Raw genomic sequence first — 24,434 nt, forward strand, 5'->3', positions numbered from 1 at the left:
CTAATTTAGATAATCTGATAACTCTTTAACGTGTGCCATGTTTACTATGCACAAGATTGTTTACTGTCTTTTTCAAATTCTAAGCCCTATGCAATTCATTGGCTCATTAGGCTAAAGGAGACCTTAAGAAGATATTCAATCCAATCCCCTGAATCCAGGAAAGTCTACATGATAACCAGCATAGCAGATTCATCAAAGCTTACCTAGTGATTCTCTGAAATCAAAGAAAGCAACTTTATAGCTTTCTCAATCACTCTCCTTTCACAATTTAACAACCATTATCAAACAGCTTATAAGTAAATTATTGGCCACTCAAAAATATGCTTTGAGTGAAAATAACATAGTAACAACTCACTCAGATACATCCATATGGCAGTAACTATATGATAATACAAATCAGAAATAACAGTCAAGGGAGAACATATGAAGAAGGCAAAATTTTGAGGAATGGGAACCTGACTTTTCTTAGGCTTATTGCTCTGTCTCCAAAGTTGTGCTGTATCAACCACAATCTTACACACTGCCTATTCTATATAAAGATGAATATGGCTGGGCACGGTGGCTCATGCCTGTAATCCCAGCACTTTGGGAGGCCAAGGTGGGTGGATCACCTGAGGTCGGGAGTTCAAGACCAGCCTGACCAACATGGAGAAACCCCCTCTCTACTAAAAATACAAAAAAATTAGCTGGGCATGGTGGTGCATTCCTGTAATCTCAGCTACTCAGGAGGTTGAGCTAGGAAAATCACTTGAACCTAGGAGGCAGAGGTTGTGATGAGCTGAGATTGTGCCATTGCACTCCAGCCAGGGCAACAAGAGCAAAACTCCAATTCAAAAAAAAAAAAATGATGAATACATCGAAATCAGTACAATTGGGTAGCCATAGATTATTTGTAACTAATGCAAACTGATTTTGTAAAGTATAGTTGATATTCCACCTAGACAACCACAACTTAAATAACAAAGCCATAACTACCCTTTACTTAACCACAACTATAAATCTAATTCTCCATCAGTTGAAGAAAATACTCAAAAATTCAGATTTAATTCAACTTGAAAACCAATTCATTTCTGTATAAACCATTAAAAAAAGAAGTTGGTATAACGTGTTTAATTACCTCATGTCCTGAGAAATAATTAATTTGGGCAGTGGTTTGAAACATCATATAACAAGTTACTAACCAAATTTACTCACCTCTTCTGTGAGAAAGAAATGTTTAATAGTTATGAAGGCAATGAATTAGCTAACAAGAACTCATGGGATATGGATGAAGCTAGGAGTACCATTAGGGAACGGGATGTCAACTTGTGCTTAGATGTGGAATCTTTGATATTTACCAAATCTTTCCTGGAGGTTATATCTCTGTTGATATTTTTTTCTTTTTTTCTCTCCAGTGAAATTAAAGATTCTGCACTACCAATGCTTGATGTCTGTGACATTTCCACCACCAAAACTGGAGGAACCCTTGTTTTGCTGGAACATACACAAAGTACATCTTTCTGAGAAGCAGATGAACAGTCGGGGCATTTTGTGGATTTTTTATCTAAGCCACTATCAGCCATTTGTTTAACTCTGCAACAAAAGCAACTTTAAAAATGTTTCCACTGTTTGAGGAAGAAAACCAGGCCAAAAAGGATAAGGTAGTTGATGGTGAAAACTGTAATTTCGAACTGGTGAAGTCCTCAGGTTAAGGATGCACTAGACACATATTCACACGTGAGAGCTGCAGAAAGAAAAGAAATAACCATTTAGAGAAATTCTTAACCTATTACCATCCTGGAAATCAGAGAAAAGCTAGCAACTAGCACTAGAAGCATCCTGTATAGACATGAAAAGGACAAAATAGGACCACAAAACTGGTGAAAAGCATGGTCTAAAACAGCATCTTATCAAACTGCGTAGTGGGTTATGAAATCCATTTTGTGGGTTGATACCACTTTTTAAAAATAAAGTAGAATCAAAGAGATAATATTTAGCATACCTCCTTGGAAATTTCTGTGAAACTTTTAATTGGACAGACATATATGTATAGAGTGTGTGTGTGCGTGTGTACTTGATCACAGTATGAAATGTATTTCTTAATGTGGGTTGTGGTTTTTAAAAAGGCTTAAAATATTGGTGTTAAACATACATTACTATGGTTTCAAATTTTAAACCTTAATCTATTGATTATTAGAGCAAATTCCTATTACATACTTTACAAAGGAGTGAATAATTCGATTTTTAGAAAACTAGCTAATCCTAAAAGTTTAAGTATCCTCATAAGTATCCTCATTTTTATATTGAGCAAAAATAAAAATGAGTGGGTGCTATTTTTCCCTGAGTCTAAAATAGGTATGGCAGCATTTTACTTAACTAGGACCATTGGCAGCTGCATGGTGGCAAGTTGGAAAGATCTCAGTTGAGGAGGAAGAAAAATACACTCTGCAGTACATATAAAGGAGTACTTTGAGAAACTTCCAGAAGTAATTGGGAGTACATTATTATGGTTTTATGCTATACCATTTCAGACAGTCTTTAAAAGTAGATTCTGTAGTCATAGATTGATAAACCTGGGGATATATGCAATATACTGTTATCCTTTGAACTGGAATAAACTTGACTAGAATAGGAAATTAAATATATTTATTTCATTAAAGAAATACCTGGTTTTCTAATCAGAAAGCTGTGCTTTTATCAAATCCTTATCTATTGTGATTGGCAGGAAAATCTGCCAGGCTCATACGATTTTATAAAAGATATTGCTAGTAGTTTACCTAAAAGTTGTCCTCTCATTCTTTCTTACTAACAGAATCCTGATCTTCTTTGGGGCAGCAATGTGCTCATTAACATCCTACATTTCCGGGCTTCTCTTTTAGATTAGGGGTAGCCATGTGACTTATGGCCATTAAGCTTAACAGAATGCAGGCAAAGCTGCACTTAAAAGAAAATTTATATTCTTAAACCTTTATTAAAATCAGAGGAGAAAGGATAAAAATATACTAAGTGTGCAGTCAAATCTAAAAGATAGAAAAACATAATTAAAGAGTAAGCTTAAGAAACAGAAATGACAAAGAAATTTTGTTGAATTTTGCCTATACGGTCCCAAATAAACGTACTCTTCACTACCTCTCAGCTTTCATATCTCCTTTCTCTCAGATACAGTAGCCTCTTGCTGCTCCTCTAATATGCCAAGTATACTCCCTTCTCAAGGCTTTGCCCTTCTGCTTCCTCTGCCTGGGATGCTCTTCCCTCAAACATTCACACGGTCTGCTCCCATGCTTCACTGTGGCTTCTGCTCATTTGAAAGGCTTTCCTAACCACCTCATCTAAAACAACAAGCCCATGCCCTCTCCCCCCTTACCTTGCTTTGTTTTTCTTCATGCCACTTATCATTTCACTCAGGAAGTTTCATAGCAGAGTCCTCTCCTACTTTTATTGAACAGATGATTCTTATATAAATGGTTTCAGAGCATGCAAAGCCATCCGGTTCATTTTATTCACTTAAAATAACCAAAATCTGACCATAGTAGTATTCCCCAAAAGGGGGATTTACAGGTCAGTCTCATTTGTAAATAGATTTTAAAATCCTAAATGCTGTACTTACATTTACCCCAGGTAATGTATATAGTATATTATAAGATTATTAAATAGAATAGATAAGTCTGCCCAATAAATATGACCTTTCATCAAAGTGGTGGGAAAAAAATTTCTATTGTGATTAAAACTCATAATGGAGAGTATGAGGACAGGTACATTAAAAGTGCCCTCCAGACAGGCAGAGGAAGAAAAGAATGCAACTGATGCCACTCAAAATACACACACACACACACACACACACACACACACACACATACACATCTCTTATAAACACTTAACCTGGTTTTTCAAGAATATGTAGCAAGACAAAGAAAATTCAGAATGTACCTGTATCACTTTCCAAAATGATTTAACTTCAGGCCTAGAAGAAAATGTTTTGCATTTCAGGTTAAATATAAAACCCATAACCATCAATGACTCAGAGCAGTGGAGTAGATCTGCAAATGATAGGCTTTCTGTTTGGGAAAAATAGTGCTTTCTCTCTGAGGTGTAGAGAAGTCCCATGTCAGATGTGTAAAACATCATTTTTTGCATACATTAAGAATATTGATTTTATGGTACTTTTTATAAGAAATTGTAAGAAGTATTCGTAACGTACAGGTTTATTTAACTGCAGCTGAGTTCTTTCATGATAAACAGTACTCCTAAAAGCATACTTACCATATCCTTCAAGGTTTACAAATATATATATTCACAAATTTTCAATGGAATCTTTAAATATTAAAATTTTCATTTTAAGATAGATTTTGGGGGATCTAAAAACAGCTATTCTTTTCTTAGCTTTGTTCAGAAAGCATTTCCTTTAATTTTCATCAATTTTTCAATAAGTCATTATCATATCACTGACATTGTCACAGACTTCTGAGTACTTTCTCGCTCCAGTCTTCTAATTTATCAGTTGCCTTAGAAGTACTTGGTAGCTATATGCATAAAGCATAGGATTTCTTTCTATTACTCACTGAGAAGTTTCATTTTTGCTCTCCAGTCTACCAAGTGCTATATTTGCCAAAATAATGTTCTACTTTCTTACCACAGCAATTCTAAAACAACAGGTTGAATAGCTGCATGCAAAATTTCTTGACAAGAATTAGATTTCAAATTTAACTTCTTTTTGGCTGGCTGAATTCTAATTATTTTAGTTTAAACAAAAACCAAGATAGAACAAATGTTTACTCACATTTATTTCTTTCTCATTTACGAATTGATCTGAAAGATTTGTTACTAAAACAAATCTACTATTTCACAGGACAAATGATGTCACTCATATTTTAGAGGCTTAAAATTAATCAAGTATTGCAAACTTATGTAAACACAAAGATTAATAGCTCTTTTTCTATAGAATCATGGAATTATGTTTAAACAGGACTTTAGATATAAAAATATGTATTACAAAAACCAAAGAATCTTCTAATACAATAATGTTTCTTTGTGTCTCCAAAGATTGGACATACATAGGTACTGGACATAATATAAGCAAATAAAATAAGTTCAAATTATGTCAGTACTTAACTAATACATGAGCCTTCCTTTGGCTTAAGGTTTTCATTTTATTTTTAGAACTAAGGCAAGTCAATAAAACAATTCTGATAATGAAAATCCCTGGGCTTTAATTTAATCATAAAAAGGTCTTTTACATATTGGCCCTAGAAGATACACTTACAGCAATTTCCTCAAGAAAATGAACACAAGAATGGTTTTATAAGATATAACTAGCTATAATTTTCTTCTCCAAAAGCAATTTTTTTAGTTTTCTTTGCTAAGACTGTGTCTACAAGAAACCTAAATAGTCAATTCAGTCAAAATGTGTTTTATTCAAGTAAAGGGGAAAAAAAAAAAAACTTACGAATTGTCTGACATTCTGCAGACCAAGCCAAATGACTGACTGCTTTAGTAACATGTTTACAAAGCCTAAAGAAGGGCCCAGTGAGTTTTCTAGATGATATTGCTATATTTTAAGGAAGACTAGCACTTGTTTATTCTTTTCATTAAGGGCATGATTAGGAAAATGAGTCTGTATTGTCTTATAAAAGGATTTACAGTATATTTAAAATTCACATTATTTCAGAATTTTTTTAAATGTTTGAGTGATGTTTACTATTAACTTTTCCTTTCTATTTTAATTTGCATGATGTTCCTCACTGATTAAGCAGTAATACGGAAGGACAGTCTTAAATGTGGCCCCTATACTGACAGTTAAAAGCGAGAACAGAGGCCGGGTGCGGTGGCTCACGCCTGTAATCCCAGCACTTTGGCAGGCTGAGGCGGGTGGATCACAAGGTCAGATCGAGACCATCCTGGCCAACATCCTGACCAACCTGGGGTTTTAGTAGAGAAACCCCATCTCTACTAAAAATACAAAAATTAGCTGGGTGTGGTGGCATGCACCTGTAATCCCGGCTACTAGGGAGGCTGAGGCAGGAGAATCGCTTGAACCCAGAAGGCGGAGATTGCAGTGAGCCAAGATCATGCCACTGCACTCCAGCCTGGCAACAGAGCTAGACTCCGTCTCAAAAAAAAAAAAAAAGCGAGAACAGAAATTGCAGTTTAGAGACAGTGGATAAACCAGGAAACCCTCTCCCTGATTCTTCCCTGTTGATATCAGTCTTTTCTCCCTCTCCATTATAAGCAACCAGAAGCTGGCCAGGCACAGTGGTTCACGCCTATAACCCCAACACTTTGGGAGGCGGAGGCAGGCCGATCACTTGCAGTCAGGAGTTCGAGATCAGCCTGGCCAATATGGTGAAACCCCGTCTCTACAAAAAATACAAAAATTAGCCAGTCGTGGTGGTGTGCTCCTGTAGTCCCAGCTACTCAGGAGGCTGAGGTTGGAAAATCGTTTGAACCCAGGAGGCAGAGGTTGCAGTGAGCTGAGATCGCACCACTGCACTCTAGCCTGGGTGACAGAGTAAGACTCTGTCTCAAAAAAAATAACAAATAAAAAAATAAGCAACCAGAAGCCAAGGACCTTTCTCCAGCACAGGCCCTTCCTTATACATAATAGGCACTCAATGAAAATTTTTGAGTGTTGATTTTGTGGAAAAGAGCCAGAATCACAAATCATTTAGTTAGAAAAACAGGCAGGAATATTGGAAAAGTCGTCAAAGAAATGAGGGGATCATATGGAGAAGAGATATCTCAAAGGGAATGTGAGAGCTCTCTTCACATTTCTGAAGAGGATTAGGCATATGGGATTAGACTTCTACGTGATTTGAAGAGACAGTGGGTGCCGATTTCCATCTAATATAAAGGGCTTCCTGACATTTACAGCTGTCAAAGATAAAAGGAAAGACTATCTCAGGGACTACAAGTGTTTGAGTAGAGGCTGGAGCATCAGGTGGAAGAAGGGAAGCAATGGGGGAATTTAAGCACAGACTAGGACGTATTGAGGTTCCTTCTAGCCCTAAAATTATATGAAGATGAATCACTCCCAACGATCATCTGAGATGTAGCAGACATTTAAAGGAACAGAAGTGGCAGTGTTCCTCACCTCCACTGTAGAGATTTCAATATTATAATGGGGATCCAGATCAGACCAAACCAGTTACAGCCCTAAAATTCACCTCAGTCAACATGAACTCCATCTGGAACAGAGCAGCATTATTGGAATTTACCCTGGAGTGGGGAGGGGCGTAGTGAGATGCAGGGAGGAGATGAGCCAGAAGGCCGGATGTGCTGAGAAGTAGTGGCCCTGCCTAGAAAAGAAAAAGATAAAAAATAGAAGAAAAAATATTGTAAGAAAAAGGAAATAATCCCGCCTTCCCCTTCATGAAATCAGAGAATAGGTCTAAGAGCGAGCAAGGGGGCCCACATGTAGCTAAGGCAGACAAAAAATTCAATAGATTCTTGAAGAAGTAAAACCACTCTAAGGATCCAAACAGGAAGGCTCTGCTGTGCTCCATCCAGGAAGCTGAAAAGAAAATAGTCTCCTCATACTCAGGAATCTTAATCCAATAAGCAAAAGATCAATAAGATCAGGAATTTGAGAGTAAATCTGGGAAGTCTGCTAGCTTTGACTATCAAGCACCAATTAAAACTTTTTCACTAATAAATATATTAATGTAAAATTCCATAGTCAGAGTGCCTGTCCTCTACGTCAAACATTCTCAAGAGTACCGAGAGAGAGGAGCTGTCCAAAGCCAGCAACTTTCCAGGAAACTAGGTAGTTAGCTGAGGAAATGTGTGATGTAACATTCTGACTTGGATGTTTCATTCCACATGAGGAAAGGCACTCTGATCCTCAAGATCACTTTCAAGGGTTGAAAGCACAATCGAAGGGTCCAGGCAACTTTCCCCTTATAGCCAGACCTCTGCAAACTTGACAACTCCAAACAGTCTACAACAAAACACCAACAACAGATTCCAAAATCCCTGTCTTCAAGTTTTAGCAGAAATAATATTAATTTAATAAAACAGAAACAACAACAAAAACTACTCTGAACTGTGAGCCCCTCCAGGGCAGGAACCATGTCCTATTTACATTGCCATTTATGTCCAGCAAAAGACGTCCATTAAGTAAGGATTATTGACTGAAAGTCATTAACTGATTGATGGAAACAGTGTTTTGGAGCTTACAAATACAATAAACAAGGCAAGTACCCAGCATAAGGCAGACAATGACCTGACATGTAAAAGAAGTCTGAATGTATCTGTGGAGTCTCCAAGGCCAAAAACTGCACCTCCACCATAATGCAGTCCTCACTCCATCTTGTAGCTTTCCTTTCAGAGCAAAACTTCAAAACCCCTACACCTAGCCTGACTCCAGCCAGGCTAAATTTCCACCTGATTCTGAAAGGCTTCCTATCAGACAAGATGCTATAACTGCACCCCCATCTTATGTTCTAGACAACATTTTTGGTTTTCAGGAGTCTAGAAGGATATAAACACATAAGTATTTATTTTGGTGATGGACCATATTGTCAAACCCAAGGGCTTCTCCTGGCCTTACCTACTCCCCAACATCTATAGGCATTGGTCATAATAAACATTATTATTAATATCTTCATATTCAACAAAATATCAATATTTTTGCAGACAGAGTAACTAACAATAACTGGTTTGTTTTTCTTTCATAATAAAGCGTGTAAATCATAGCTAAGACCAAAAAGATTCATGTGAGACATAAGATAACTTTCCAGGCTCCCCAGCCACGTAATTTCAAGTAAGAATGCTTGTTTTCTGGGAGAGCCTGTTTCCTTTGATCCCAGTGATGAGCCAGTTATCCACAGCACACAAATCCCAGACTCGTAGCCAGAACAAAAGCATTTAGAATGTCACAGCTGAGGAATAAATGTGCCATGGCTGTTAAATTCAGCAAAACAGGAAAGAAGAGAAGAGTGCATGTGGCACCAGAACTACCCAATAAGAAAAGGCACTTAATGGCAAGTTTTCTATAAGTCTGACCAGTAAGAGCATCTAGAGGGCAGTTAGGAGTCCAGCAAAGAGCATCAGAGGTCCAAGAGAACAGGCCAAATGAGAATCCAGCCATCTAATAGTTTATGTATATATCCAGCACACACTTTAATACCTGTGATATACTAAGGACTGAATTATGGATAAAGAGATTATGAAGGCATAGGTTTCACTCATAATGATTACGATAATGATAATAAATATGAACAAAGTATAAAAGTGATACAAAAGATGGAGTGGCCCAGGAAGTAACATGATCCAGTGGGACACATACAATTTTTAGAATGAGAGATACCAGGGTTTGAATTCTACTCCTATCCCTTATTAGCTCAGTTCCCCTGTATGTAAAGCAAAGATAACAGCAGTAACTATCTTTTTTATTTTTATTTTTTATTTATTTATTTATTTATTTTTTTGAGACAGAGTCTCGATCTGTCACCCAGGCTGGAGTGCAGTGGCGTGATCTCGGCTCACTGCAAGCTCCACCTCCCGGGTTCACGCCATTCTCCTGCCTCAGCCTCCCGAGTAGCTGGGACTACAGGCGCCCACCACCACGCCCAGCTAATTTTTTTGTATTTTTAGTAGAGATGGGGATTTCACCATGTTAGCCAGGATGGTTTCGATCTCCTGACCTCATAATCTGCCTGCCTCGGCCTCCCAAAGTGCTGGGATTACAGAAGTGAGCCAACGCACCCGGCCAGCAGCAACTATCTTATGTAATTGTTGTGAGGACTAACTATATAACACTTGTAAAGTTTCTAGTACTTTGTCTGACACATATTATTGCTTTAAAAATCATTATTACTCACTTGCTGAGGGAAAGTTTCATGGGGAAGGTAATACTCAAACTAAGTCACAAGGAATGAGTTAGAGTTCACCTGTGAACACGTCAAGGAAAGGTTCTCCAAGTAGAGACACCAGCACATGCAAGGGCCCAGAACCTGTGGTTCCAGATGAATGGAAGGAGGTGGTTTCAATTTGAAGGCAAGAAAAATAGGAGAGAGAAAGTCGAGTCTCTCTCCTGGGATGAGAAGTGAGAAGAAGCACTTTCAGAAAAGATTCGGGTTAAATAAGAGTATTTTCACTGAAGAATAGGCACAAAAGATGGATGGGGTGGAGTGGGACATGAGGCTCTTGTACTGAAGAGCTGCAAAAAAGAAAAGGCTACTGTAATGGAATAGTCTTAGGTGGGCACTTCCAAAACTGACCCTAATCAGACACAGGTTTTAGTGAACAGAGAGTGGCCACCAAATTCAACACTAACTCTTCAGCAAGCAATTGAAACTCTGCAATGGAGGGGGCACAGGGCATCAATGTCTGCTGAAAATATAAACTGTAAAGCTAAAGAGCATCAAGAATAGGCTCCAGCCAGTACAATCAATCAAAATCTACTGCCGAACGAACATATTAAAATTTAGTGACAAATTCACTATAGTCAGTGTTTCAACGTGACAGAATAAATGGCTTATTTCTAATGAGTGCCAAAATTACAAAAAATACCAAAGGATGCTTCTCACTGTAACTTCCACAATGAAATATTAAGTTCTTTATTTTATACATATATACACACAAATGCCCCTACTCCAAATTCAGTACTATTGCCAATAAAGCTATATCAATTTTAAGAAATAGAACATGAATGTTCTACCATTTGAGAGTCTAAAGACCCCAAGTTTCTAAACAGTTATTCAACATTAAAATCTCAAAAGTCTTCTGAGACAATTTTACATCTATTTTTCATGTACACAAACTTAAAACGAAATGTTTGTACTCATGCTAAAGTAGAAAGAACCCAAGCTTTACTGTCAGACCAACACTCAAATTCCTCCCTAGTAACCTATGTTGTCTCAGCCCCCACATATGCAACATGTATAGATGGTGTGTATATATCTGAATGGCAGATTTGTTTTAGGGATAAGGTATCATGTATGTAAAGTCCTGATATGTTTTAAGCTCCTAATAAATGGAGGCTTTATTACTGTTGTGCAACTGTCAAAACCCGATGCATGACAGCATCAGGAAATTATTTTAGCAGTCATAATCTCTCAACCTAATGCTCCAAATATTGTTCTACATGGATTCTAAGATACAAATTGCCATATAATTAGCTCACAGCTAGCTTAAAATACAACCCTACGGGAGCTTGCTCTAGATGTTTGCAGCTGAGCTGTAGTGGGAATGTCTTGATGGAATAGCCTACGAGCAACTTGTCATGCTAAATTCTGAATGCTACAAGGCACTCAGATACCACATTTATAAGAATTGTATAATTTAAATATGTAAATGCTGAATAGCAAAGAGAACATTTTAATTTAGCCAAGACCAAAGTCTATCAAATAAAAATTATTTGACTATATTATACCTTAACAACTGATTGAGAAGGAATAGTATATATATGATTAGGTTTTCAGAGAAAGGAGGCATCTGTATCCACAGATTTATTTGGTGAGTTTTTGAAACCTTGCAATGGAACTATAAAAACAGTGTGATTAAAATCGATAGAGCACATCAATTGGTGATTCTGTTGCCCAAGAAAAGGCAATAAGCCTTAGGCATGTTATTAGTAGATTATACAATTTCACTGACAGGTTCAAGATTTTAAAGGCAACTGAGAAGAGAGAGGATTTCTCTTTTGGAGCCAAGGGATTTTTCTCTTCTAAAAGGAAATCATCATGTCCCTTTAAAAATGAAGATTAAAAATGTCTTCTGTAACATTTGAAAAAATAATATTGTTTTCCTTTATTTCCTAAAATAAAAATACATTGATGATTCTGATTAAAATTAAACTGAAAGCTACTTTTGTTGAACAATACTGTATCCAACCACATAGCCATTTAACAAATACCAGAATAATTTGGGAAGTAGAGGTTATAAGTTTATAATTTCCAAAAAGTCCATGCAGAAGAATATAAAGTCTAAAAATATGAGTTTCCAGACCTCTTCTGCAAAAATTGTAAGTGATTCTCTTTTCATGTATTAGTGATAAAATTATATACTTTTACACAGGCCTTCAAATTCAAAGAACGTTGTTTCAAAGCACACTTTTTAACCAGATAACAAAAGTCATGTAGACATAAATTTGTCTTATTAAAAAGTGACCAAGTCAAACTGAACCTAAAATCAGCAGGACTTTAGTCAGATATTCCACTATACTACAAACAGAAAATTGCAAAAATGTTCTATTGGTTGCTTTATTGTGAAAAGTCCAGAGTAGAAACATCTTTGTGTAGCCTTGGAAAACTAACAGCAACAATTTCATGTAGCTTTATGCTTATAACAGAAAAGAAAAAGTTGACTATAAAGTTGACCAGTTTAATCACTGAATCTCAATAGGAAATACAAGGCTAGGCTCACAGAAATAAATAAGTTGACTCAGTCATTGGCTGTATAGCTTTTGCCAAATGAACAGTAAACTCTACTTAGTGGAGCTTAAGTCATTAGACTTACATCAGGCATAATTTTTCAAAGAAAACTACAAAACACTACTTTCTCGTCAGTAATATATGTACATACTTGAAAACATATAATAGCTTTATGTTCTAAATAGCTATTGAAATAGATAGCTTTATTAACTAAATAATGCAAACAATTTTGTTTAGCTTCTCCCTCTCCCTCAGTCTCCACATTCAACATTGACAAGTCCATTCTATTTCTAAAACACTTCTCAAATCCATCAGTTTTCTCTATTCCAAATATCACAATCCTAGTCCACACCACTATCATCTCTTGCCTGGATTACTGCAAGAGTTTCCTAACTGGTCAACCTGACTCCAACTAAGCCATCTGATCTCCATACTCTCAAAGCTTTCTCCATACTCTAGCCAGAATACTCTTTCTAATATGCAAATCTGATCATATTTCTTCCCAACAAAAACCACTTCAGTGGCTCCCAAAAGCACTGAGATTAAAGTGATCCCTTAACATGACATACAGGAGCCTGTGTGATATGGTCTCAGCTTACTTCTTCAGGCTTAACTCATACTACTTCCTTAACAAAATTTGCCAACATACAGAACTTCTTTCATTTCCTGGAATCCAGTGCTTTCTCTAGGCCTTCTTATGTGTACTCTCAGCCTGGAACACTCTTTCCCATTCCTCTCTTCATCTGTATAATTCCTACTCTTCCTGCAAATCTTAGCTTAGACATCATCTCCCCTGAAATTCTCTTAAAATCTTGAGTCTTGGTTGAGTCTCTGCCTCTCCTATGTACACTTACTATATCATACTCTGAATTGTACTTGGTCACCTCCTTGTCTGTATCCTTCACTATACCCAAAGCTCCCTGAAGGCAGAGATGGTGTTTATGTTGTTAGTCACTGTTTATCAGGTGAGAGAATGACATAATAAGATGTGCTTTTTGGAAAGCACATTCTACCTTCAGTATAGAGAATGTATAGAAGGCAGGACAAGGCAGGAGATGTAAAGCAGCAAATCATTACAATTGTTTTAAGCAAGATGAAATTGTGGCCTTAACTAGGAAAGCAGAATCAGGGATGGGAAAAGTAGACAAATTCTAGAGGTATTTAAGATGTATAGTGATAGAACTTGGTAACTAATCAGTTATGACCTGATGAGGGAAAGAGAAAAGTCAATACATTGAAAACTGAGATAGATAGCAGCCATTTACTGAGACAGTAAAGACAGGAGGAAGAACAGATCTGGAGTAAAATAACCAGTTCAGTTTGGGATGTGCCAAGTTTGCTTTGTCTTAATTACACCAAAATGGAGTTGTAAGAGGTAGTGGATATTTAGGACCAGAGACAAGGAGAAATCTAGGTAGAAAACATGAATTTAAGAGTTATTTCACAGAGGCCGGGCACAGTGGCTCATGACTGTAATCCTAGCACTTTGGGAGGCAGAGGCTGGTGGACTGCTTGCGCCCAAGAGTTTGAGACCAGTCAGGGCACTATGGCAAGACCCCGTCTCTACAAAAAGTACAAAAATTAGCTAGGCGTGGTGACACACCTGTAGTCCCAGCTACTCAGGAGGCTGACATAGGAGGATCACCTGAGCCCAGGAGGTCAAGCCTGCAGTGAGTTGTGATCATGCCACTGGACTCCAGCCTGAGTGACACAGTGAGACCCAGTCTCAAAAAAAAAAAAAAAAAAAAAGAGAGAGAGAGAGAAAGAGAGTTACTTCATAGAAAAGGCACCTGAAGTCATGCATATAGGTGAGATCATCCAGGAAGGATATGTAGAATGGAAACAAGAGAACCAAGAAAAGAATTCTGAATAACATTAACTTCTAAAGGATAATCAGAGGAAGTCTTCAGTGGACTGAAGAATGGAAACGGTGTCCATAAAGGCAGCAAGGAGGTCATTTCTTGAAGGGAAGATTGGTCAAAAGCCAAATGGCTCAAAATTTTCAAATAAGATGAAGACTAAAAAATTATATTTAAAAGTTGAGCTGTGGAATACCATCAGCAAAAATGGCAGATTAAGGATCTCCAAAATTTTTCTCATCCACAAAAGCAATGAAAAAATGGCAAAAAAAATCAGAATAAACTTTTTCATAACTCTAGATATTAACTAAAGGCTTGCAGTAACCCAAAAAGCATGCATGTGTGAATGAATGAATATCAGTAAGAACAACAAGCTTCGTGGCATTTTAACTTGCCTTAGTCCCATCTCTGACTCCCTTATCTCCACAATAAAAATAATCGTGAAAAGTAATAACCCACAATCCTGGTGCAGCTTAACAGCTACTGGAGAAAGGAAAATGGAGCTAGGGCTCTTTCAAATGTTCATTCCCAAGAACTGTCATTATTTTACCATCTAGTGGTTCCCTGGAATAACCCACTTATAAGTCAGTCTGTATTTGGCCTAACTCAGGGCTTGCCAGTACAAAATGCCTCCTTCCCAGGGATTTGTAATTGTTGAAAATAATTACAAGCAGGTGTTTTAACTTCACAGTTGCCCAAGGCAGTTGATAACACTTGGAGCAACAACAGACTAACCAAAAAGTTTAAAAGAAAAAGCTGGAAAATTAGATCTCTGTAGGGGCTTTGAAAAACTCCAACATATTCCTAGGAATCTAGGAAGCTACACACACACATAGGGCTATATGCATGCACAGGAAAGACTTGAGAAGCTCCTAAACTCTAATCTCTGGCTGACCTGGAAGCTCTGCACAAGCAGGAAGTGAAGGCTAAGGTAAGTTGTCAACCACCTTGCTTAGTGTTGCAAGTGTAGCCCAACATGCACGTAGAGTTCCTTGGCAAAGAATGGGTGATTTATTGCTTCTAGGCATTGGAGGAAATCTTTTCCAATCATTAGCTGACCACCAAGATAAACAAGTAGACACTTCAATGGTCACAAACAATATAGATTATAGTCTTCAGACAAGTAGTTCAGAAAGGTCACCAAACTACTACCACTACAACCAGCAGCAACAAAACACCCTGGGGAGGGGAGAGTATCTTATTTCCAGAGTTGCCACATATAAAATGTCCAATTTTCAACAAAAAATTATGAGATATGGGAAAGAAAACAAGCAAACATGGCCCATACAGAAGGAAAACAAAGTAATCAGTGGAAACTGCCCTAAGGAGGCCCAAATGTTGAACTTACTAGACAAAGACTTTAAATGAACCGTTTTAAATATGTTCAAAGTGCTGAAAGAAACCATGTCTAAAGAACTAAAAGAGGCTGGGCATGGTGGCTCACGCCTATAAACCCAGCACTTTGGGAAGCTGAGGGGGAAGAACTGCTTGATCCCAGGAGTTCAAGACCAGCCTTGGCAACAGAGCTAGACCCTATCTCTAGTAATGTAAAGAATCAGCCAGGCATGGTGGCATGCACATATGGTCTGAGCTACTTGGGAGACTAAGGTGGGAGGATTACTTGAGCTCAGGAGTTTGAGGCTTCAGTGAGCTATGATCACACTACTACACTCCAGCTTGGGTGACAAAGCAAGAAGCTATCTCCAAAAAAAAAAAAAAGAAAAAAAAAAAGAAAGAAAAGAAAAGAACTAAAAGAAAGTATAAAGGTATAAATATATTATATTACACCAAATATAGATGATCAATAAATATATATGTTTTAGTCCATTTTCTGCTGCTATAACAGAATACCACAGGCTGAATAATTTCTAAAGAACAGAAGCTTATTTGGCTCATGGTTCTAGAGACTAGGAAGTCGAAGAGCATGGCACTAGCACCTGGTGAATATCATCTCATGGTGGAAGGCATCACATGGTAAGCAAGCATGCAAGAGAGAGTGAGGAAACCAGGCCAAACTCATCATTTTATCAGGAGCCCCAAGGCTGTAATAACTAAACCATGATAATAGCATTAATATATTCATGAGGGCAGAGCTCTTATGACCTAATCACCTCTTAAAGGTCCTAACTCTTAATACTGTTACAATGACAATTAACTTTCCAGCACATAAACTTTTGGGAGACACATTCAAACCTTAGTGATACATAAATTATTTTTTTAAATTAAATAGCAATTCTGGAGTTAAAAAGCATAATAACTAAAATGAAAACTTCACTACAGCGGCTCAACTGCAGTTTTGAGCAGGCAGAAGAAATAGTAAACCTGAAGATTGATTGAGATTAGCTAGTTTGAGGGACAAAAAGTAAACAATTAAAAAAAAACAACACAGGATCCCATTCCAAGATGGCCGAATAGGAACAGCTCTGGTCTACAGCTCCCACTGTGATCAACGCAGAAGATGGGTGATTTCTGCATTTCCAACTGAGGTACCTGGTTCATCTCATTGGGATGGGTTGGACAGTGGGTGCAGCCCATGGAGGGCGAGCCGAAGCAGGGCGAGGCGTTGCCTCACCCAGGAAGTGCAGGGGTCGAGGGATTTCCCTTTCCTAGCCAAGGGAAACTGTGACAGACCATACCTGGAAAAACAGGACACTCCTGCCTAAATACTGTACTTTTCCAATGGTCTTAGCAAACGGCACACCAGGAGATTATATCCCCTGCATGGCTGGATAGGTCCTACGCCTATGGAGCCTTGCTCACTGCCAGCACAGCAGTCTGAGAAGGATCTGTGAGGCAGCAACCTGGCAGGGGGAGGGGCGTCCACCATTGCTGAGGCTTGAGTAGGTAAACAAAGCAGTCAGGGAAGCTTGAACTGGGCAGAGCGCACCACAGCTCACCAAGGCCTGCTGCCTCTGTAGACTCCACGTCTGGGGGCAGGGCATAACTGAAGAAAAGGCAGCAGAAACTTCTGCAGACTTAAACGTCCCCGTCTCACAGCTGTGAAGAGAGCAGTGGTTCTCCCAGCATGGTGTTTGAGCTCTGAGAACGGACAGACTACCTCCTCAAGTGGGTCCCTGACCCCTGTGTAGCCTAACTGGAGACACCTTCCAGTAGGGGGCTGATTGACACCTCATACAGGCAGGTGCCCCTCTGGAACAAAGCTTCCAGAAGGATCAGGCAGAAATATTTGCTGTTCTGCAATCTTTGTTGTTCTGCAGCCTCTGCTGGTGATCCCCAGGGAAACACGGTCTGGAGTAGACCTCCAGCAAACTCCAACACACCTGCAGCTAAGGGATCTGACTGTTAAAAGGAAAACCAACAAACGGAAAGGAATAGGATCAACATCAACAAAAAGGATATCCACACCAAAACCCCATCTGTAGGTCACCAACATCAAAGACCAAAGGTAGATAAAAACCACAAAGATGGGGAGAAACCAGAATAGAAAAGCTGAAAATTCTAAAAACCAGAGCACCTCTTCTCCTCCAAAGGATTGCAGCTCCTCGCCAGTAACAGAACAAAGCTGGACAGACAATGATTTTGACAAGTTGACAGAAGTAGGCTTCAGAAGGTCAGGAATAAGAAACTTCTCCAAGCTAAATGAGGATGTTTGAACCTATCGCAAGGAAGCTAAAAACCTTGAAAAAAGATTAGACGAATAGCTAACTAGAATAAACAGTGTAGAAAAGAACTTAAATGACCTGATGGAGCTGAAAACCATGGCGCAAGAACTACATGATGCATGTACAAGCTTCAGTAGCCGATTTGATCAAGTGGAAGAAAGGGTATCAGTGACTGAAGATCAAATGAATGAAATAAAGCAAGAGGAGAAGTTTAGAGAAAAAAGAGTAAACAGAAATGAACAAAGCCTCCAAGAAATATGGGACTAGGTGAAAAGACCAAATCTACGTTTGATTGGTGAAACTGAAAGTGACAGGGAGAATGGAACCAAGTTGGAAAACACTCTTCAGGATATTATCCAGGAGAATTTCCCCAACCTAGCAAGGCAGGCCAACATTCAAATTCAGGAAATACAGAGAACACCATAAAGATATTCCTTGAGAAGAGCAACCCCAAGACACATAATTGTCAGATTTACCAAGATTGAATTGAAGGAAAACAATGTTAAGGGCAGCCAGAGAGAAAGGTCAGGTTACTCACAAAGGGAAGCCCATCAGACTAACAGCAGATCTCTCAGCAGAAACTCTACAAGCCAGAAGAGAGTGAGAGCCAATATTCAACATTCTTAAAGAAAAGAATTTTCAACCCAGAATTTCATATCCAGCCAACTAAGCTTCACAAGTGAAGAGGAAATAAAATCCTTTCTAGACAAGCAAATGCTGAGAGATTTTGTCACCACCAGGCCTGCCCTAAAAGAGCTCCTGAAGGAAGCACCAAACACGGAAAGGAACAACCAGTACCAGCCACTGCAAAAACACGCCAAATTGTAAAGACCATCAATGCTAGGAAGAAACTGCATCAACTAACAGGCAAAATAACCAGCTAACATCATAATGACAGGATCTAATTCACACATAACAATATTAACCTTAAATGTAAATGGGCTAAATGCCCCAATTAAAAGACACAGACTGGCCAATGAGATAAAGAGTCAAGACCCATCAGTGTGCTGTATTCAGGAAACCCATCTCACGTGCAGAGACACACATAGGCTCAAAATAAAGGGATGGAGGAAGATCTACCAAGCAAATGGAAAACAAAAAAAAAAGCAGGGGTTGCAATCCTAGTCTCTGATAAAACAGACTTTAAACCAACAAAGATCAAAAGAGACAAAGAAGGCCACTACATAATGGTAAAGGGATCAATTCAACAAGAAGAGCTAACTATCCTAATTATATATGTACCCAATACCAGAGCACCCAGATTCATAAAGCAAGTCATTAGAGAACTACAAAGAGACTTAGACTCCCACACAATAATAACAGAAGACTATAACACCCCACTGTCAATATTAGACAGATCAACGAGACAGAAAGTTAACAAGGATATCCAGGACTTGAACTCAGCTGTGCACCAAGCCAACTAAATAGTCATCTACAGAACTCTCCACCCCAAATCAACAGAATATACATTCTTCTCAGCACCACATCACACTTATTCCAAAATTGACCACATAGTTGGAAGCAAAGCTCTCCTCAGCAAATGTAAAAGAACAGAAATCACAACAAACTGTCTCTCATATGACAGTGCAATCAAATTAGAACTCAGGATTAAGAAACTCACTCAAATCCTGAAAAGTGCATGGAAACTGAACAACTTACTTCTGAATGACTACTGGGTAAATAACGAAATGAAGGCAGAAATAAAGATGTTCTTTGAAACCAATGAGAACGAAGACAAAACGTACCAGAATCTCTGGGACACATTTAAAGCAGTGTATAGAGGGAAACTTATAGCACTAAATGCCCACAAGAGAAAGCAGGAAAGATCTAAAATTGACACCCTAACATTACAATTAAAAGAACTAGAGAAGCAAGAGCAAACAAATTCAATAACTAGCAGAAGGCAAGAAATAACTAAGATCAGAGCAGAACTGAAGGAGATAGAGACACAAAAAACCCTTCAAAAAATCAATGAATCTGGGAGCTGGTTTTTTGAAAAGATCAACACAATTGATGGACCGCTAGCAAGACTAATAAAGAAGAAAACAGAGAAGAATCAAATAGACACAATAAAGATGATAAAGGGGATAGCACCACCGATGACACAGAAATACAAACTACCATCAGAGAATACTGTAAACATCTCTATGCAAATAAAATAGAAAATCTAGAAAAAATTGATAAATTCCTGGACACATACACCCTCCCAAGACTAAACAAGGAAGAAGTTCAATCTCTGAATAGACCAATAACAGGCTCTGAAATTGAGGCAATAATAAACAGCCTACCAACCAAAAAATGTCCAGGACCAGACGGATTCACAGTGGAATTCTACCAGAGGTATGAACAGGAGCTGGTACCATTCCTTCTGAAACGATTTCAATCAATAGAAAAAGAGAAAATCCTCCCTAACTCATTTTATGAGGCCAGCATCATCCTGATACCAAAGCCTGGCAGAGACACAACAAAAAAAGAGAATTTTAGAACAATATCCCTGATGAACATCAATGCTAAAATCCTCAATAAAATACTGGCAAACTGAATCCAGCAGCACATCAAAAAGTTTATCCACCACGATCAAGTTGGCTTCATCCCTGGGATGCAAGACTGGTTCAACATACCCAAATCACTATATGTAATCCATCACATAAACAGAACCAATGACAAAAACCACATGACTATCTTAATAGATGCAGAAAAGGACTTTGACAAAATTCAACAGCCCTTCATGCTAAAGACTCTCAAAAAACTACGCACTGATGGAATGTATCTCAAAATAATAAGAGCTATTTATGACAAACCCACAGCCACTATCATACTGAATGGGCAAAAACTGGAAGCATTCCCTTTGAAAACCTGCACAAGACAGGGATGCCCTCTCTCACCATTCCTATTCAACAAAGTATTGGAAGTTCTGGCCAGAGCAAGCAGGCAATAGAAAGAAATGAAGGGTACTCAATTAGGAAAAGAGAAAGTCAAATTGTCCCTGTTTGCAGATGACATGATTGTATATTTAGAAAACCCCATCGTCTCAGCCCAAAATCTCCTTAAGCTGATAAGCAACTTCAGCAAAGTCTCAGGATACAAAATCAATGTGCAAAAATCACAAACATTCCTATACACCAATAACAGACAAACAGCCAAATCATGAGTGAACTCCCATTCACAATTGCTACAAAGAGAATAAAATACCTAGGAATCCAACTTACAAGGGATGTGAAGGACCTCTTCAAGGAGAACTACAAACCACTGCTCAACGAAATAAAGGAGGACACAAACAAATGGAAGAACATTTCATGCTCATGGATAGGAAGAATCAATATTGTGAAAATGGCCATACTGCCCAAGGTAATTTTATAGATTCAATGCCATCCCCATGAAGCTACCAATGACTTTCTTCACAGAATTGGAAAAAACTACTTTAAAGTTCATACGGAACCAAAAAAGAGCCCACATTGCCAAGACAATCCTAAGCAAAAAGAACAAAGCTGGAGGCATCACACTACCTGACTTCAAACTATATACAAGGCTACAGTAACCAAAACAGCCTGGTACTGGTACCAAAACAGAGATATAGATCAATGGAACAGAACAGAGGCCTCAGAAATAACACCACACATCTACAACCATCTGATCTTTGACAAACCTGACAAAAACAAGAAATGGGGAAAGGATTCCCTATTTAATAAATGGTGCTGGGAAAACTGGTTAGCCATATGTAGAAAGCTGAAACTGCATCCCTTCCTTACACCTTACACAAAAATTAACTCAAGATGGATTAAAGGCTTAAATGTTAGACCTAAAACCATAAAAACCCTAGAAGAAAACCTAGCCAATACCATTCAGGACATAGGCATGGGCAAAGAATTCATGACTAAAACACCAACAGCAATGGCAACAAAAGCCGAAATTGACAAATGGGATCTAATTAAACTGAAGAGCTTCTGCACAGCAAAAGAAACTACCCTCAGAGTGAACAGGCAACCTACAGAATGGGAGAAAATTTTTACAATCTACCCATCTGACAAAGGGCTAATATCCAGAATCTACAAAGAACTTAAACAAATTTACAAGAAAAAAAACAAACAACCCCATCAAAAAGTGGGCAAAGGATATGAACAGACACTTCTCAAAAGAAGACATTTTTGCAGCCAACAAACATATGAAAAAAAATCTCATCATCACTGGTCATTAGAGAAATGCAAATCAAAACCACAATGAGATACCATCTCATGCCAGTTAGAATGGTGATCATTAAAAAGTCAGGAAACAACAGATACTGGAGAGGATGTGGAGAAACAGGAACGCTGTTACACTGTTGGTGGGAGTGTAAACTAGTTCAACCATTGTGGAAGACAGTGTGGTGATTCCTCAAGGATCTAGAACTAGAAATAACATTTGACCCAGCGATCCCATTACTGGGTATATACCCAAAGGATTATACATCATGCTACTATAAAGAGACACGCACATGTATATTTATTGTGGCACTATTCACAATAGGAAAGACTTGGAACCAAGCCAAATGTCCATCAATGATAGACTGGATTAAGAAAATGTGGCACATAAACACCATAGAATACTGTGCAACCATAAAAAAGGATGAGTTGATGTCCTTTGCAGGCACATGGATGAAGCTGAAAACCATCATTCTCAGCAAACTATCATAAGGACAGAAAACCAAACACCAAATGTTCTCACTCATGGATGGGAAGTGAACAATGAGAACACTTGAACACAGGGCGGGGAATATCACACACTGGGGCCTGTCATGGGGTGGGGGGCTGGGAGAGGGATAGCATTAGGAGAAATACCTAATGTAAATGACAAGTTAGTGGGTGCAGCAAACCAACATGGTTCACGCATACCTATGTAACAAACCTACATGTTGTGCACATGTACCCTAGAACTTAAAGTATAATAAAAAATTTTTTTTGAAAAAGAAAAGAAAAAGAAAAAGGAAGGACAAAAAAAAAGAAGTGAACTTGATTTTCCAGGAGATTGCTGAAATAAATCCCATGTATATGATCATATGCAAATTACAGAGGGAAGGAACACTCAGGAACAACTGCAGTTATCCTCTAATTTAACTTTGCCATACACTTTGTCTTTCTTATAATTCTAATGCTGTGTATTGTGTGCAAAAAATGAATTTATGCAGTACATGTATTTGTAAATTATTTGAAAACAATTTTAATTGCTGGTGCTTCTATGATTAGACTTGAATTTAGTTTATTCTCCGTCTGTTTTGTATAATAGCAGATAATGTCACCCAGAAGGTACTTTACAAAATTTAATGTGTTTAAGGAATCTCTACTGATGTTAATTAAGTTTGATCTTGCCTCTAGGATTGGACAATCATGTAAAAATTATTTTTTTAAAATAAGCCTGTGTGATATTTCATTTTTTTTTTTTTTGAGATGGAGTCTCACTCTGTCACCCAGGCTGGAGTGCAGTGGCGTGATCTCGGCTCACTGCAAGCTCCGCCTCCCAGGTTCACGCCATTCTCCTGCCTCAGCCTCCCGAGTAGCTGGGACTACAGGTGCCCACCACCACGCCCGGCTAATTTTTTATATTTTTAGTAGACACAGGATTTCACCGTGTTAGCCAGGATGGTCTCGATCTCCTCACCTTGTGATCCACCTGCCTCGGCCTCCCAAAGTGCTAGGATTACAGGCATGAGCCACTGCGCCCGGCTGATATTTCATTTTTTTTATGTTAGGTAGCATCCCCCAAATTAAAAAAACAAGTAATTATTTTTACCATATCAGTTTTTAGAGGAAGCATTGATTTATCTTCATGTATGAATAGTTTTGCATAGCATACAAAATTATCAATATTTCTTATTTTTGTATATTATTGATACTCATTATAATAAATTAATTCCACATATTACAAACAAAAAATAAAAAATAACATAGATTCAGAGACACCTGTGGGATACCATCAATGTATCAACATATGCATAACCCAAGGGAGAGAAGAAACATAAAGGGGAAGAAATAATATTTGAAGAAATAATGGCCAAAAATTTCTACATTTAGTGAAAAACATTAGTCTGCACATCCAAGAAGCTCAAAAAAACTCTGAGTGGCATAAACTCAAAAAGATCATACATAGACACATATTATTCAAACTGTCAAAAAACAAAATCAAAGAGAACCTTGAAAGCAGTGAGAGAGAAGCAACTTATCACATACAAAGGATCCTCAATATCCTCCAAAAGATTAACAACTAAATTGTCAACAGAAACCATGGAGGCCAGAAGGAAATTCGATGACATGTTCAAAGTTCTTTCTTTTTCTTTTTCTTGAGACAGGGTCTCACTATGTCACCCAGGCTGGAGTGTAGTAGCATGATCACAGCTCACTGCAGCCTTGACCTCTCTGGGCTCAAGTGATCCTCCCACCTCAGCCTCCTGAGTAGCTGGGACTACAGGCACATGCCACCATGCCCAGCTAATTTTTGTAGAGATGGGGTCTCACCGTATTGCCCAGGCTGGTCTCGAACTCCTGGGCTCAAGTGATCTGCCTGCCTTTGCCTCCCAAAGTACTGGGATTACAGGCATGAGCCACCACACATGGCCAATATATTCAAAGTTC

General features: G+C 38.3%; 1 protein-coding gene across 57 annotated transcripts in view; it reads right to left on the minus strand.

Annotated features, from left to right (window-relative positions):
- Nucleotides 1-24,434, minus strand: part of STK33 (serine/threonine kinase 33) — a 259,405-nt gene that overhangs the window by 138,520 nt on the left and 96,451 nt on the right. For 5 of the 57 annotated variants that reach the window (XR_007062494.1, NM_001352399.2, NM_001352393.2 and 2 more), the window contains one exon: nucleotides 1,338-1,723. The exons of 1 other annotated variant lie outside the window; for it this stretch is intronic. Coding sequence is in view for 54 of the 56 variants with exons in the window: in NM_001352399.2 (NP_001339328.1) it covers nucleotides 1,338-1,562 (225 nt within the window). In the remaining 2 variants the exon portion in view is untranslated. 51 more of the 57 variants (XM_047427463.1, NM_001289058.2, XM_011520297.3 and 48 more) reach the window with 29 other exon arrangements.

The sequence above is a fragment of the Homo sapiens genome, chromosome 11 (assembly GCF_000001405.40).
Source record: "Homo sapiens chromosome 11, GRCh38.p14 Primary Assembly".
NCBI classification, from domain to species: Eukaryota; Metazoa; Chordata; class Mammalia; order Primates; family Hominidae; genus Homo; species Homo sapiens.